A 13,935-nucleotide genomic window follows, 5' to 3' on the forward strand; every position below is an offset into this window, starting at 1 on the left:
GGAGGAGACTTGGCACTTACTTGGCTCAGTATAGAATGTGTGTGTTGCAGGGAATCAGGGAACAGGGAGGGCGGTGAGAAATGAGGAAGGAGGGGTTCACTGGCCAGTCCTGTGGTGCCTGCCAGCCATGCTGATGATGGGGCCTGAGCCCTGAGAGTGACAGGGAGCCACTGGAGGTGTTTTAGCAGGGGCCACAGATGAAGCGTTGCTCTAGCTGCTGAGTGAAGGAATCCGAGGAGGAGGCAGGGAGACCAGCCAGGAGGCTGCTGCAGTCTTCAGTGAAGAGAATGGATTCAACAGAACTTTCTGAGAACCAACAGGTCTTGGTGACTGGAGGTGGTTGGAGAGGGAGAGAAAGGAAAGGATGATGGCCAGTTTCTGGACGGTGTGACAGGTCAATGTTTAAGCCACCATCTGAGATGGACGGCTGAATGTTCTCTCTCCATCCCTGTCTTGAGTGAAGGGGAGTGAAGTGTCCGATGTGGCCCAGAGCCACAGCCTTAGTTCACATCTCATCACATGGTCAGCCTTCTATCTGGTCTCTTAGCCTCTAGCCTCTTCCCTCTCTAGCCCATCCCCTGATAGACTGAGTGACCTAAATGAGACATCTGATCATGTCACTCCCCGGCTGGAAAAATTTCAGACTCCCTGTCTCTAGAAAGGTCCTACTTGGTCCAGCACACAAAGTCATCTCCAATCTGAGCCCATTTACATTCCTGTCTCAGTCCCTTGGCAGTCTACACCAGCCACAGTGAATAATAGTAGCAACGACAACAGCTAACAGTTACACAGCACTGATATGTACCAGGCAGTGTTCTAAGAACTTCACACATATAACTTGCGTAACTCTAAGAAAAACACTTCCTAAAAAGTCTTGCACATCCCAGAATGGACAATACACACTTGCCTTCAGATCTTGCACCCAAGGTTGTCTCCACCTGGTATTCGGCCATCAACCTTCCACCCATCTGATACATATTTATTACTCATCAACTTCTCCCAGTCACTATACTAAGTACCAGGGATCCAAAGTTGCGTGAGACATGGTATGTGCCCTCAGTGCATACAAAGTCAAATGGGGCAGACAGACACACGAAGGAACACTTATAACATGATAAGGTAAACGCAGTGATGGAGATGTTATGGAGCCACAGAGATTGAGCCCCTAATCCAGTCTGGGGCCTTCCTCACTTGGCCGTCTGGAGCTTTACCCCTTCTGGGATGCATTCCCCACTTAGCCAGACAGGGTGAGGTCTCTTCTTCCTGCAGTCCCTGCTCTACCCACACCATACACCAACGACCTTTTATGGGGGAAGTTCAGGGGCTGCTTCCTCCTGAGCACAGTGAAGGCAGAGAACAGTCTGACTCACCATAGGATCCAGCACCCAGGGCAGCCTGGACACAGATGACTGGAATTTGCTGAATGAAAAGAGCATGAGGAATAAAGAATCACAAAGGGGGCATCCTCCTCCTGGGTTATTCCCTGATGCTCTCTCCAGAGTCAGGACTGTACTTGCTACCTTTCCTGAGCCTGGCTCAGGCCCTCTGGAGTCAGACCCTGCTGGTAAGGATGGGGCTGTGGCTGTCATCCCTAGTTCAGGAGCAGCCTGGTCAGAAAAGGCCTTGCCAGAGCCCAGCCAGCGGGCAACTGCCTGCCTCGGGCTTCTGAGAAACAAGCAGTATCCTGGGCAGCTCTAGTTTTGGGCCTAAGAGGGAGGAAGCCCTGCGGCAGCCTTCAGGACCTCTGAGTGGCAAGAGATGGTGTTGGGGAATCTGAGATTTCCTTGGCTCCAGAGCCCCTTCTGCAGCCTCTGGGCTCTGAGATTGGTGGAAGCTGTGATGGAGGGCTTTAGAAATAAATGACTCTGGGATGGCCTCAAACTAGAGGTGTTTGAGGAACATTCCAGGAAGCCTTCAGGAGCCTCAGGCTGGTCCCTTGGGCACTCACAGAGTTAACATGGCTCTTTCTTCTCAGAGCTCTGAAGGGCAATCATGAGGATGGGTATCTTGGGCCAAGGACCTGAAAGGGCTTTCTGCCTCAGCCCTCTCTCCTAGGCAGAGTAGTTGGGAAGCCCTGGCCCCTACCCCATGTTCCTTGCCTCAAGGCCTGTCTTGGCTAGTGGTGCCTTTGCAGAGCTGGGGCTGGGGGCAGGGAGTCTTGCGGGCTAGTGCTAACAGCTTTGGACAAGGGTGGGAATTTCCACTCCTATCTAGAGAGTCATCAACGCTGTGTGCCCTGACCTGGGCCTTTGGCCTCCAAAGGGCAGTGGGAAGGCCGGCCCCAGGGCCAATCCCTGGCCATTAATCCCTCCTGCCAGCCCGAATATCCACCCAGTGTGGTCAGACAAAGGACTGCCCAGCCCAGCCACTGTGTTCCTCCCGCCCCAGGGGCTCCACTCAGACGCTGGGCCGCCTGGAATCCAGGCCCATGAGAAAGGGGCCGCCTTCACTGGCCATCTTATGCCCGGATGCTCAGCCGCATCACGTCCGGCCCAGGGCCTGTGAAAAGAGGGCCCAGCCACGCTGAAAACACGGATTAGCCCTTGGGCCGCCCCCTGACACTGGCCTGCTCGGCTCCAGCTCCGGGAAGCAGGCCCAATGGAGGGGGCCAGACAGGCATAAAGAACTGGAAAAGTCTGGGTCCTCACCCCTTTGGCCTAGTTCCCCACCCCCACCCTTCCCAGGATTAGCATAGCCAACCACACATTCAGTTTCATTTATTGAACATGTACTATGTCCTAGGCTGTACACATTGACCAGAAAACTGAAAGTACAAGGAAACTGCACGTAGCTACGGGTGGTAATAAAAGCCACTTTTCCCTCAACCCCCTCACTGCCTGGAGGTGTGAGATGGAAGCTGTGGTGGGTGCTTTGGAGGGGCTCCATCACTAAGGGAAGGTGGGAAAGGCAGTGTATGAGACCTTGTCAGCTCTGGTCTGCACTTGAGTCTAGCTGCAGGATTATGTTGCACCTGCTTGAAAATATGCAGGTGCTGAAATAACTTCTCTGGCTCTGCCTCTCTCCTTCCCCTGGTTTAATACTGATTATGCCAATTGTGTAGTAGGAAAAGAAAGCACCTCTTGCTAAGTGCCATTGTGGGCCTGGCACTTTCATACCTGATCTCATTTGGCTCTCAAAATGCTGAGAGGGGGCTTCCATTATTCCGTTTGAGGAAACTGAGGCTCACTGAGGCTCAAATGAGAACTGGCCCCAGGTCACTCTGCTCTTGAAGCTAGATTTCCTCATGCTGCAGTGGCTTGTCTTGCCTTCTTCTTTGGTGAGCTGGGCATTGTGACTGCACTGTCTTGTGTTCCATATGGTCTACCTTCAGGCGGTAGAATGCAGGGTGGGGCCGGGTGCAGTGGCTCTTGCCTGTAATCCCAGCACTTTGGGAGGCCGAGGCAGGTGGATCACCCGAGGTCACGAGTTCAAGAGCAGCCTGGCCAACATGATGCAACTCCGTCTCTACTAAAAATACAAAAATTAGCTGGGCGTGGTGGCGGGCACCTGTAGTCCTAGCTACTTGGAGGCTGAGGCAGAAGAATCACTTGAACCTGGGAGTTGGAGGTTGCAGTGAGCCAAGATAGCCCCACTGCACTCCAACCTGGGTGACACAGCAAGACTATGTCTCAAGAAAAAAAAAAAAAGAATGCAGGGTGGGGAGGTTGAAGAGGGTTCTGAGGCAGGACCTGCTAGAATATAAACTGAGCTGACTCTTCATTGTTGTGGGTTAGGGATTGTCTGTAGATCTCCAAGTGTCATCTCCTTCCTCTCTGCTTCTGTAGCCCCTCTGGCCACCTCTATCATAACTGGCAGTTGTCTGTCTCTCCACCAGATTTCGAGTCTTCATTTCTGTCTTGCCTGGAGCACTTGCTAAGGGACTGGCCCAGAAGTACTCGGTGAGCAATGAAGCCTGAACTGAGGCCAGGAGAACTGAAGGAGGGATGGATCTGGGACCCATGTGGAATTGACGGGACTTGGCACTTGCCTGAATGTGGAGAGTGAGTGGGGAGGAAGGAGCCCAAGATGATGATAACCACACTTTCATCTGGTGGTGGTGGGAAGGAAAGGGGAGAGGTCCATTTGCTGAGATATGGAATGCTGCAAGGAGAGCCGGCCAAGGCTGGAGGATGTACCGGGTAGAGGAAGAGATGCATTTCATTTAGGACATTTGGGTTTGAGATACCTTGAAATATCCATGTGGTTATGCCCAATGGGCACCTAGATATGCTGACCAGGAGGTGAGGAGAGAAGCTAAGAATCTACTTTGGCAGCTGAAGTTGTGGGAGCTGGAAATACTCTGATTATTTCTAATGTCTCAGCTCAGCCTTAAAGGATGGCATTCTTAGAAGAGTGGGGTGCTAGAGCTTTGAACTTCACATTTAATTCCAGCTCTACCACTTACTACTAGCTGTGTGAAGTCAGGGAAACCACTTAACCTCTCAGAACCTTAGTTTCCTCATTTGCAAAACAGGAATAATAACAGTACTCACTTCACGGGGTGCCCAAACTTAAGTGCAATAATGTACATAAAGTGTTTACCAAATACAAAATGCTCAGTAATGGTGGCTGTGATGTCATCAGCTGAGACTGGAGCTGAGAGAGGGGCCCTTGAGCTCCATGCTTTGAGTTTGGATTTTGAACTGGATTTTGAGTTTGGAGTTTACAGGCCTGCTGTAACTAGCTTTGGTCACCTATACCTAGGGACACTCTATAGCATGGCTGGGGGACTAGGATGGGGCAAGTGAGATGCCCCAAATGTAAGGAGGCCCTGGCTCTCAAGTGCTGACTGCACTTGCAAGGCCCTGAGACTGAGCTCCCCTTAAACTCAGCACCTCAGGCACCTCAGTGGGCTCACTGTCCTTCCAGCCCTGCTCCATGTCCAAGTCCCTTGATCTGCCTGTCCCCAGGACAACCCACTTTAAGACAAGGCTCCTTCACCCTGTAGTTCCCTTGGAGCTGGGGATGGGTCTCCTGTCTCTTGGGAGAAGAAGTTTCCCAAAATAGGCTGGGTGCTGCATCCCCCTGGATGCCAGTTGTGGGTGGAACTTCTCAGACTGAGTTTTTAACAAACACTGCCAAAGACCCCCCATCCCCAGTGAGATGTGAGTGTGGTGTTTCTGGGTCAGAAGGCGGCTTTTTCAGACCCCCAGTCTGTGGAAGCCTACATTTTGTACTGTGTGTGTGGGTGTATGTGTGTGTGTGTGTATGTGAAGAAAAGCTGTTTTCTTTAACAGGGGGGTGTGGAGAGGAGGCAGCCAGAAAGGCAGCTCCAAGTTGTGGATTTCCTGGGGGCTCTTCATTTAAAGCGGCCGCACCACTTTCCACAATTCTGTTTTTTCAGAGAATGCTCTCAAGGCCTGGAGGGAGGGCATGACAGGGGTATGGGGGAGGGGGGTGGCAGAGAGGCAAGATGGTGACCCTGATCTGGAGCAGTCAAACATTCTCCCAGAGACAAAACCGGCCTGGCTCTGCCCTGCCCCGCTGCTTCATTACCTTGGCCCAGGTTCCCTAATGTCTGTGAGTGGGCCTGACACCTCCCCATCAGGATACTGAGGGCTGGCAAGGCGGCCTTCATCTCTGTTCCAGCTGGGGATGGAAGGCCAGGAGAAGGATGGGGGGACCGACTACTGGGAGGAGCAAAATGGGGAGGAGCAAAATGGGGAGGGGGCTGGGAGAGTGAATGGGTGGATTTGTGATTGGGAATGATCCAAAGGAGAGGGGGTAGAAGGAGGGGTGGAAAGGGAAGGGGACTGACCAAATACAGTGGGATGGGGCCAGGGGCTGATATAACCGAGATGGGGAAGGGGTGAGTCTGGGTCTGGGAAAAACTGATCCAAAGGCAGAAAGGGAGGGGCGAAATGGAGGAGGGTACCGTGAACAGAGTAAGGGGGCTGGGAGAGGAAATTAGAGGGGAGGCGCTGGCCAGCAGGCAAGGCCTGAGCCCTCTCCCCCGGCGGTGGTTGGGGGGGGGCCGTGTCCATATAAAGCGGGTCGGCGGCCCCTGCGGTCCCGGAGCCGCGCGGGCAGGGGCTGCCGCAGCCGATGGCGGGGCGCAGCGACATGGATCCGCCCGCCGCGTTCTCTGGCTTCCCTGCCCTGCCAGCGGTCGCGCCGTCGGGGCCGCCGCCGTCGCCGCTCGCAGGAGCCGAGCCAGGGCGGGAGCCAGAGGAGGCGGCGGCTGGCCGCGGAGAGGCGGCCCCCACGCCCGCGCCCGGCCCGGGGCGGCGGCGGCGGCGGCCCCTGCAGCGCGGGAAGCCGCCCTACTCGTACATCGCGCTCATCGCCATGGCTCTGGCGCACGCCCCGGGCCGCCGCCTCACGCTGGCCGCCATCTACCGCTTCATCACCGAACGCTTTGCCTTCTACCGCGACAGCCCGCGCAAGTGGCAGAACAGCATCCGCCACAATCTCACGCTCAACGACTGCTTCGTCAAGGTGCCCCGCGAGCCGGGCAACCCGGGCAAGGGCAACTACTGGACGCTGGACCCCGCGGCCGCAGACATGTTCGACAACGGCAGCTTCCTGCGGCGCCGCAAGCGCTTCAAGCGCGCCGAGCTGCCCGCGCACGCGGCCGCGGCGCCAGGGCCGCCGCTCCCCTTCCCCTACGCGCCCTACGCGCCCGCGCCCGGCCCCGCGCTGCTGGTGCCGCCGCCTTCTGCCGGACCGGGCCCCTCGCCGCCCGCGCGTCTGTTCAGCGTCGACAGCCTGGTGAACCTGCAGCCGGAGCTAGCGGGGCTGGGCGCCCCCGAGCCGCCCTGCTGCGCCGCGCCCGACGCCGCAGCCGCAGCCTTCCCGCCCTGCGCTGCCGCCGCCTCCCCGCCACTCTACTCGCAGGTCCCCGACCGCCTGGTACTGCCCGCGACGCGCCCCGGCCCCGGCCCGCTGCCCGCTGAGCCCCTCCTGGCCTTGGCCGGGCCGGCAGCCGCTCTCGGCCCGCTCAGCCCTGGGGAGGCCTACCTGAGGCAGCCGGGCTTCGCGTCGGGGCTGGAGCGCTACCTGTGAGCCTGCGCCGCGCGGGCAGGCACCTGTGCGACCTGTGCCCCGGACCTGCGGCGCCGCCCTCGAGCGCCCCATCTCTACCCCCCACCCTGGCTTGGAGCACACCCTGCGCCTCTCGTCGTGGCCTCCTGGACTCAAACTCCTGCTACATCCTTCTCCGTCCCCCATCCCTGGGGAGGCTCCCACCATCTCGCCACTGGACAGAAGCGTCCCCTTTGACCTGCCAGCCTCTCATTTCTTCTCCCTCCACTTGTGAGCGCCCCCAGCTTTGCGGCGCCCCCCACCCCAGCGCTGTCTGTGGGTCCCTTGCCCCGGAGCTGACTCGCCTCCAGTGAGTCCATACCCCAGGTTTCCTGGTGAGTTCCAAGCCTTTGGAAGCCAGATCTGTGATCCCAAGCCGCCTCCTCCACCGACTGTACTTCATCAACCTTCTCTCATGTTTTTCCGACACTCCTGGGTCAGACTCCTGGGTTCATGACTTACTTGCTAGCGTCCCTTCATTTTCCCACAAGTTTGCCCCCCACCTCCACTTACCTGTCTGCCCTCAGCTTCTTCCTGGGAGAGAGCCCCCCTTTCACGTAGACACACCTGGCTGCCTTCTTCACGCCCTGAGGACACTTCTTGGAGATTTCAGACAGGCAGCACCAGGGCTCCTGACTGAAAGGGGAGTTGGTGGGCCTTTAGGTCTGCCCCATCCCCTGGAAAACTTAGGACTTATTGGGTTATTATTATTTTTAATTAAAGCTGGTTTAATTAAAAAGAAAGAAACTTTTTTCTGGACTTGGTGTGCTGGCTGGTGACTTGGGGGAGTGGTCTGGGGAGACGGGTGAGCTTTATTCTAGATCTTGGGTTGCCACATGGGGTGAACCTCCTTGTGAGACATCAATCAGAAGTTCATGAAATGGGATTAGGAAGTGATTCTCCAGCAGGATTAGTGGCTAACACAATTTTGTTTTAAAAAGGAAGTGATTCAGCCATAGCTGTGCACATAGTAGGCCTAGTCAAATGCCATCTCCTGCATCTCAGCCTGGTAGAGACGAGATGGGCTGGGCATGTGTGTGTACACACTTGTGTGAATGTATCTGAGCAGCAGGTTGTCTGCTCTCTGGGATTATTCCCAGCTCCCATGGATAAAGGAGCACTGGCCGTTGATTCACTCCTCCAGTTAGTTAATGTGCTGAGCCTGTGCTAGACACTGGGGAAATATTACTGAATGAATGGGCAAAATCCCTGCCTCATGGAGGTTGTGGGCCAGTGGGAAGAGTCATTAATCCAACCATCAACGCTCAGAGAAATAAGATAAGTGCTCTACAGCCTTGCACTCAAAGTGTGGTCCACAGACCTACAACATCACCTGGGAGCTTGTTAGAAATGCAGAATCTGGCAGGACGTGCTGGCTCATGCCTGTAGTCCCAGCATTTTGGGAGGCCAAGGCAGGAGGATCGGTTGAGGCCAGGAGTTTGGGATCAGCCTGGCCTAACGTAGTGAGACCTCATTTAAGTAAATAAATAGAAATGCAGGATCTTGGCCCCACTCAGACTCACTGAATCATCAGATTCTGCATTTTAGCAAAATTCCCAGGTGACTAGTATGCATAGTATTCTGGAGGAAAGGCGCTGGCCTCAGGCAAGGGGCTCAGCCTAAAAGATTACGCTCTCTACTATAAAGATTGAGGCCAGGTCACAGAACCACACCCCACCCACTCTGAACTTCCAGGCACTGCACCATTGGCTATGCCCCCTGTCTTACCTCCCCTGCTGGATTGTAAGATAGGGCAGAAGGGATCTGAGCTGATTCCTGACTGTCCCCAGCACCAAGGACAGGGTAGCACTGAGCAGAGACTCTGAGGTGTGAGGGAGGGAGTTGGCCTTTGACCCTGTCCTGCTGTCTGGTGCTGACCCAAATGCTAAGCATCAGGCTTTTTCAAGCTCCCCCACCCCAGGGCTCCCAGTCTAGTTGAGCCTGAATTAGGGGTAGGAGAAGATGGGGGAGGTAGTCCCCCATCTTGAACCCAGGGTGAGTGTGATTTGCGTGCAGGACGTGCAGGATGTGCCTCTCTTGGATACCAGAGTTTGAAGCTCTGGGGTGGTGATGGAAGATGAGGGTGGACAATGGGCCGCCCATAGAGGAGAAAGTATGAAAATCTGAGAAGGCCAGGAAGGCCCTCTTTGAGGGGAGGGCAGTAGGTTTACACAGTATGGTAGGAAGTGACCTGGATAGACCCCCTCCACCAGCTATTAGCCCCTTTGAGCAAGGGTCAGATCTGATTTGCCTGATGCACAGCAGTCCTTCACTTAACATATTTTGACTGCTCGAGGGCATGAATCCCTGCTGTCTGATACTGTGCCTGACTTACAGAATAATGACTGAGTGGACAGTACTTTGACTTTGGCACCTTCTTATCCACTGGCAATCCTCATAGTGACCTATAGAAAGGGTGAAAGAGGTGAAGGTGGAGGCTATTTCCCAACTTCTAAGTTTAGTAAACTGCCCCTCCCTAGCCCCAGCAGGTAGCAAAAGATCCGGCCCTCGGTTCTCTAGGAAGTCGAGCTCCGTAAAGATCAAAATGCGAACTTGCTTTTGCTCCAAACGGTATTATAGCCCCTCCTCCTGCCTCAGAGCCTCTGTTGATAAATTCTTTCCTAGTCTAAGAAATCCCAGGGAAGGAAAGGACTCTTCTCGCTCTCCTGAAGCCAGGAACTGCTTCCTGAGCTCTGAATTCAATTCTTGCTACTACCCTGCAGGTCTCGGTCCCAGGATCTTGGAACACTTCGAGGACAGGTAGAAAATATCTGTAGGGAAATACTAGGAGGGTCACCCTTGAACTGGAAAATCAGATTTTTATTTTTTAAATGCTTCCTTAATTTTCCTTTATTCAGGCTGGGCATGGTGGCTCATGCCTGTGATCCCAGCACTTTGGTAGGCCGAGGTGGGTGGATCACCTTAAGTCAGGAGTTTGAGACCAGCCTGGTAAAATACATGGTAAAACCCTGTCTCAACTAAAAATACAAAAAGTAGCTGGGTGTGGTGGCGCATGCCTGTAATCCCAGCTACTTGGGAGGCTGAAGCGGGAGAATTGCTTGAACCTGGGAGGCGGAGGTTGCAGTGAGCCAAGATCATGCCACTGCACTCCAGCCTGGGCGACACAACGAGACTGTCTCAAAAAAAAAAAAAAAATCGAAAGCAGCACATAATTTGACAAGTCAAGTAGCAATCATAGGCTTATAGTGGTATCTTGCACCACTCTCAGGATCTCTGCTTTGTTCCATACAAAAATCCGCTTTCAATTCATATTTCTTTCTCTTGAAATATACTTCCATATTTCCATGCTTCTACTCATCTCTCTTGAAACAGTAACGATTAACTTCCTATTATGATAGATGAACATTTACCTCTAAAATCTCTTATCTCCTTCCATTCCCCCTCAAATTACCAACTTTCGTTTAAATAAAGTTTTAGCATTTACATCGTTACTATGTAAATATTGTTCTGTGATAAGCTACTAGTGTACTACAATTATAATTCCTTTTGTGTGTGTGTGCAACCTTTTATTTTACCTGGACTTAATACTGCCTTATTTTTTCATTTGTTCAACTTCCTTTGCACCTACAAAGGTACAAAGCTAAATCTATGGGAAGCTAAATCTTCCCATACCTTCCAGTAACACTGTGGTACAGCTTTTCATGAGATGAGGTCAAACTTACCAGGAAACCTATAATTGCTTTTGGTGGTTGTGCTTTTCCCTTCCTGGGGCATCTCTCCCAGAACCCTCCAACCTTCTGCTCATCTGGACTGATGGTGCTCCAGGTCGGCTGAACAGAGCTGGATCTGGAAATTCCCTTCACCATTACCTTGGTAATTCTGTGTCCTGTTTTGGATCTTCTACTTCCTGATATCCCTATCTTCCCTTTTTTCTTAGTTTATTCCCTTTTTTCAGTCGAGGTAAAATTTTTTGGAAACTTTGCACATCTGAAATTGTTTTAGCATGAGAAGCTAAGCAGGCATTTGACAATGAAATATTTGCGTCAATGCTATGCTTCTCTGTAGACCTTTTTTTTTGGAGGGAATCAGAGAATGGGAGATATTTTCTCAGCTTAGTATGCTTTACCTGTAGGGAAGCAGGGAAGGTGGTGGAGTATTATGGAAATGAGGGGTTAAGAGTTTTGGCAGGAGGACAGGGCAGGAGAACTCTGGAGATTTCCTTACAGGAGAAGGAAACCTGAGAGGAGAAGCCCTGAGAGGGGTGACTTCCTGACTTAGAGGGAATTGGAACACAGGGAGGGTAGCTTTGGGCCCAGGATGGTGCTGAGCTGGTTTGAGGGCCTCCTGGATCCATTTAAGAAGGAAGCCAACATTACCCTGGCACATGGAAAATTGAGTACATAGGAAAGTGACACCCTTGGCAGTGACACTGGCAAACATGGTAACAGAGAGGCTCCTTCAAGAGAGCCCTCCACTGTAGTGACTGGATTGGTTTTGAGCCCAAGTGTATTACCTCTCTGGGAGATCCTAGAAGTATGGGGGTGAGGGGATTTTGCACGATACAGGTTATTGTGGTTTACTTTTAAAGGGAAAGAATTCTGTGGACTTCCAGTACTGACTTTAATTTTTTTATTATAATGTCAGTATTTGCAGGTATAAATTCTTTAGACTTGTATTTCTTATGTGATTGTTAAAATTGTTTATAAATTAAATTCAAACAATGAAATAAAAATTCAAGTGCATAACATTAGTCAAATGTAAAAGAATATATTGTGGCTGGGCGCGGTAGCTGACGCCTGTAATCCCCAGCACTTTGGGAGGCTGAGGTGGGCGCATCATGAGGTCAGGAGATCGAGACCATCCTGGCTAACATGGTGAAACCCCATCTCTACTAAAAATACAAAAAATTAGCCAGGCGTGGTGGCACCTGCCTGTAGTCCTAGCTACTCGGGAGGCTGAGGCGGAGGAATCGCTTGAACCCAGGAGGCGAAGGTTGCAGTGAGCCTAGATCATGCCACTGCCCTCCAGCCTGGCGACAGAGTGAGACTCCATCTACAAAACAAAACAAAACTAAACAAAAACTATATATATATATATATATAGTTTTGCTGAGACTACATCACTTGCTCCGTGAATGTGGCTCTGACTTCTCCATAGCAGGTTTTCTGGGTTTGTCATTCCTCGGGCCATGTGATGACTAAAGTCACCATTTTTAATTTTATTGATTGATTGATTAACACAGGGTCTCACTCTGTCACCCAGGGTGGAGTGCAGTGGTGCAGTCATACCACACTGCAGCCTTGACCTCCTGGGTTCAATCGATCCTCCCGCCTCAGCCTCTCGAGTAGCTGAGACTACAGGCTTGCACCACCATGCCTGGCTAACACCATTTTTTCCTTTTGAATGAACTGCAGGCATTCCTTCATGTAGCAGGCCATGATACCAATGGGCCCAAATACAGCATATATGTATAAAATCTACATTGTTTTTTTGCCTCATCTCAAGATTAAAGTAGCATTACCTGATAATAAATGGAAATAAAGACTTCAAGTATTAGGTATCTCTTACAAGGAAGTCATCTAAGTGATCCAGAATATGCTTATATGAATGTGCTTATTATAGCGAAAAAAACCAACATTCAAAAAGTTTTATAAATTCCCACATGAATAAGAATATATTCTTGGGCCAGGTGCGGTGGCTCACACCTGTAATCCCAGCACTTTGGCCGAGGCGGGCGGATCACCTGAGGTCAGGAGTTCAAGACCAGCCTAACCAACATGGAGAAACCCCATCTCAACTAAAAATACGAATTAGCCGGGCATAGTGGTGCATGCCTGTAATCCCAGCTACTCGGGAGCTTGAGGCAGGAGAATCGCTTGAACCCAGGAGGCGGAGGTTGCGGTGAGCCAAGATTGCACCATTGCACTCCAGTCTGGGCAGCAAGAATAAAATTCTGTCTCAAAAAAAAAAAAAAAGTATATATTCTTGGACCATACTTCAAACTAAGCAATTAAACATTTTAAAACATTTATCTAAATAAATAACTCTTTGGTTAGAAGAAAGTTGTCATTACAGACTATTTATAAATTAATAAAGGTAAGAACAGTACATATTAAAATCTAAAGAATGTAGTCAAACTTGTGCTCAGAGGAAATTTCATAGCCCTAAATATGTCACGGACACAGAGTTAGAGGGGCCCTGGGGTGGGGTAGGGAGACCAGTTACAAGGCTACTGCAGCATCCAGGCAGGAAAGGGTGGTGGTTTGGTAGAGGTGGAGGTGCAAGTGGAAAAAAGTAGATATGCAAAGCTATATAGAAAGAATCAGCCATTGGCTAACATCATCCTAATCTACCATCCTAATCTACCAAGGCCAAACGCTTTCCCATTTAATCATAGCCTCAGGCCAACCCTGAAAGCTTGGAGTGGTCATTTTGCTGGTAGTCACCGCTGATCTGGCTTGCCTAATTTAAAGAGTAACTAATTTCAATATACCTATTAGCCCAGAAGGAACAGACAACATTGTCAGAGATGGTTCCTCCACTGCTCCCACCAGAGGGCACCTAGGTTAGCTGTTTTTTTCCTGTGAATTCTGTCAAACCATTGAGGAACCTATTTCTCTAGTTACATAAATTGCTCCAGAACACAGAAAAAATGGAAGTCATCCCAATTCTACGGACTATGTTATCTAATTATGTTATCAAAACCTGATAAAGGAATACACAAAATATAGCCTAATCTCACATATGAAAGATGATGCAAAACTTGTCAGCAATATATCAGCAAATTAAACTTAGTAATGTATTACAAAAAAAATATGCAATCGTGCAGTTTATTCCTGGAATGCAAAGATGGCATTCTTAGAATTATTTGCTCCCCATTGTAGGAACTGTGCATCATCACCTTTATAGATGATGAAAATCAGGCTCAGAAAGGTTAAGTGACTTACCCAG

At 51.1% G+C, this 13,935-nt stretch overlaps 1 protein-coding gene and 1 long non-coding RNA gene across 2 annotated transcripts in view, besides 1 other annotated feature; one reads left to right on the forward strand and one right to left on the reverse strand.

Moving 5' to 3' along the window:
- LINC01389 (long intergenic non-protein coding RNA 1389) overlaps nucleotides 1-13,935 on the reverse strand; it is a 56,522-nt gene that overhangs the window by 29,475 nt on the left and 13,112 nt on the right. The window lies entirely within an intron of this gene.
- Nucleotides 6,015-7,782, forward strand: FOXE3 (forkhead box E3). Its single transcript, NM_012186.3, has one exon. It carries the CDS (start codon nucleotides 6,046-6,048, stop codon nucleotides 7,003-7,005), a length of 960 nt encoding a protein of 319 aa, NP_036318.1. The 5' UTR covers nucleotides 6,015-6,045; the 3' UTR covers nucleotides 7,006-7,782.
- Nucleotides 9,204-9,373: an enhancer, noted in NCBI's record as "experimental_8190 CRE fragment used in MPRA reporter constructs". NCBI's record gives its function as "activates a minimal promoter by MPRAs in K562 erythroleukemia cells, with activity observed for both the introgressed and non-introgressed 1:47885231 variant alleles {active_cell/tissue: K562}" and the evidence as "EXISTENCE:reporter gene assay evidence [ECO:0000049][PMID:34662402]".

This window comes from Homo sapiens, chromosome 1, assembly GCF_000001405.40.
Source record: "Homo sapiens chromosome 1, GRCh38.p14 Primary Assembly".
In the NCBI taxonomy this organism is placed as follows: Eukaryota; Metazoa; Chordata; class Mammalia; order Primates; family Hominidae; genus Homo; species Homo sapiens.

What these genes read in the sequence shown, in the direction of transcription:
- FOXE3 (NM_012186.3), top strand. Translation starts at nt 6,046, where the DNA reads ATGGCGGGGCGCAGCGACATGGATCCGCCCGCCGCGTTCTCTGGCTTC.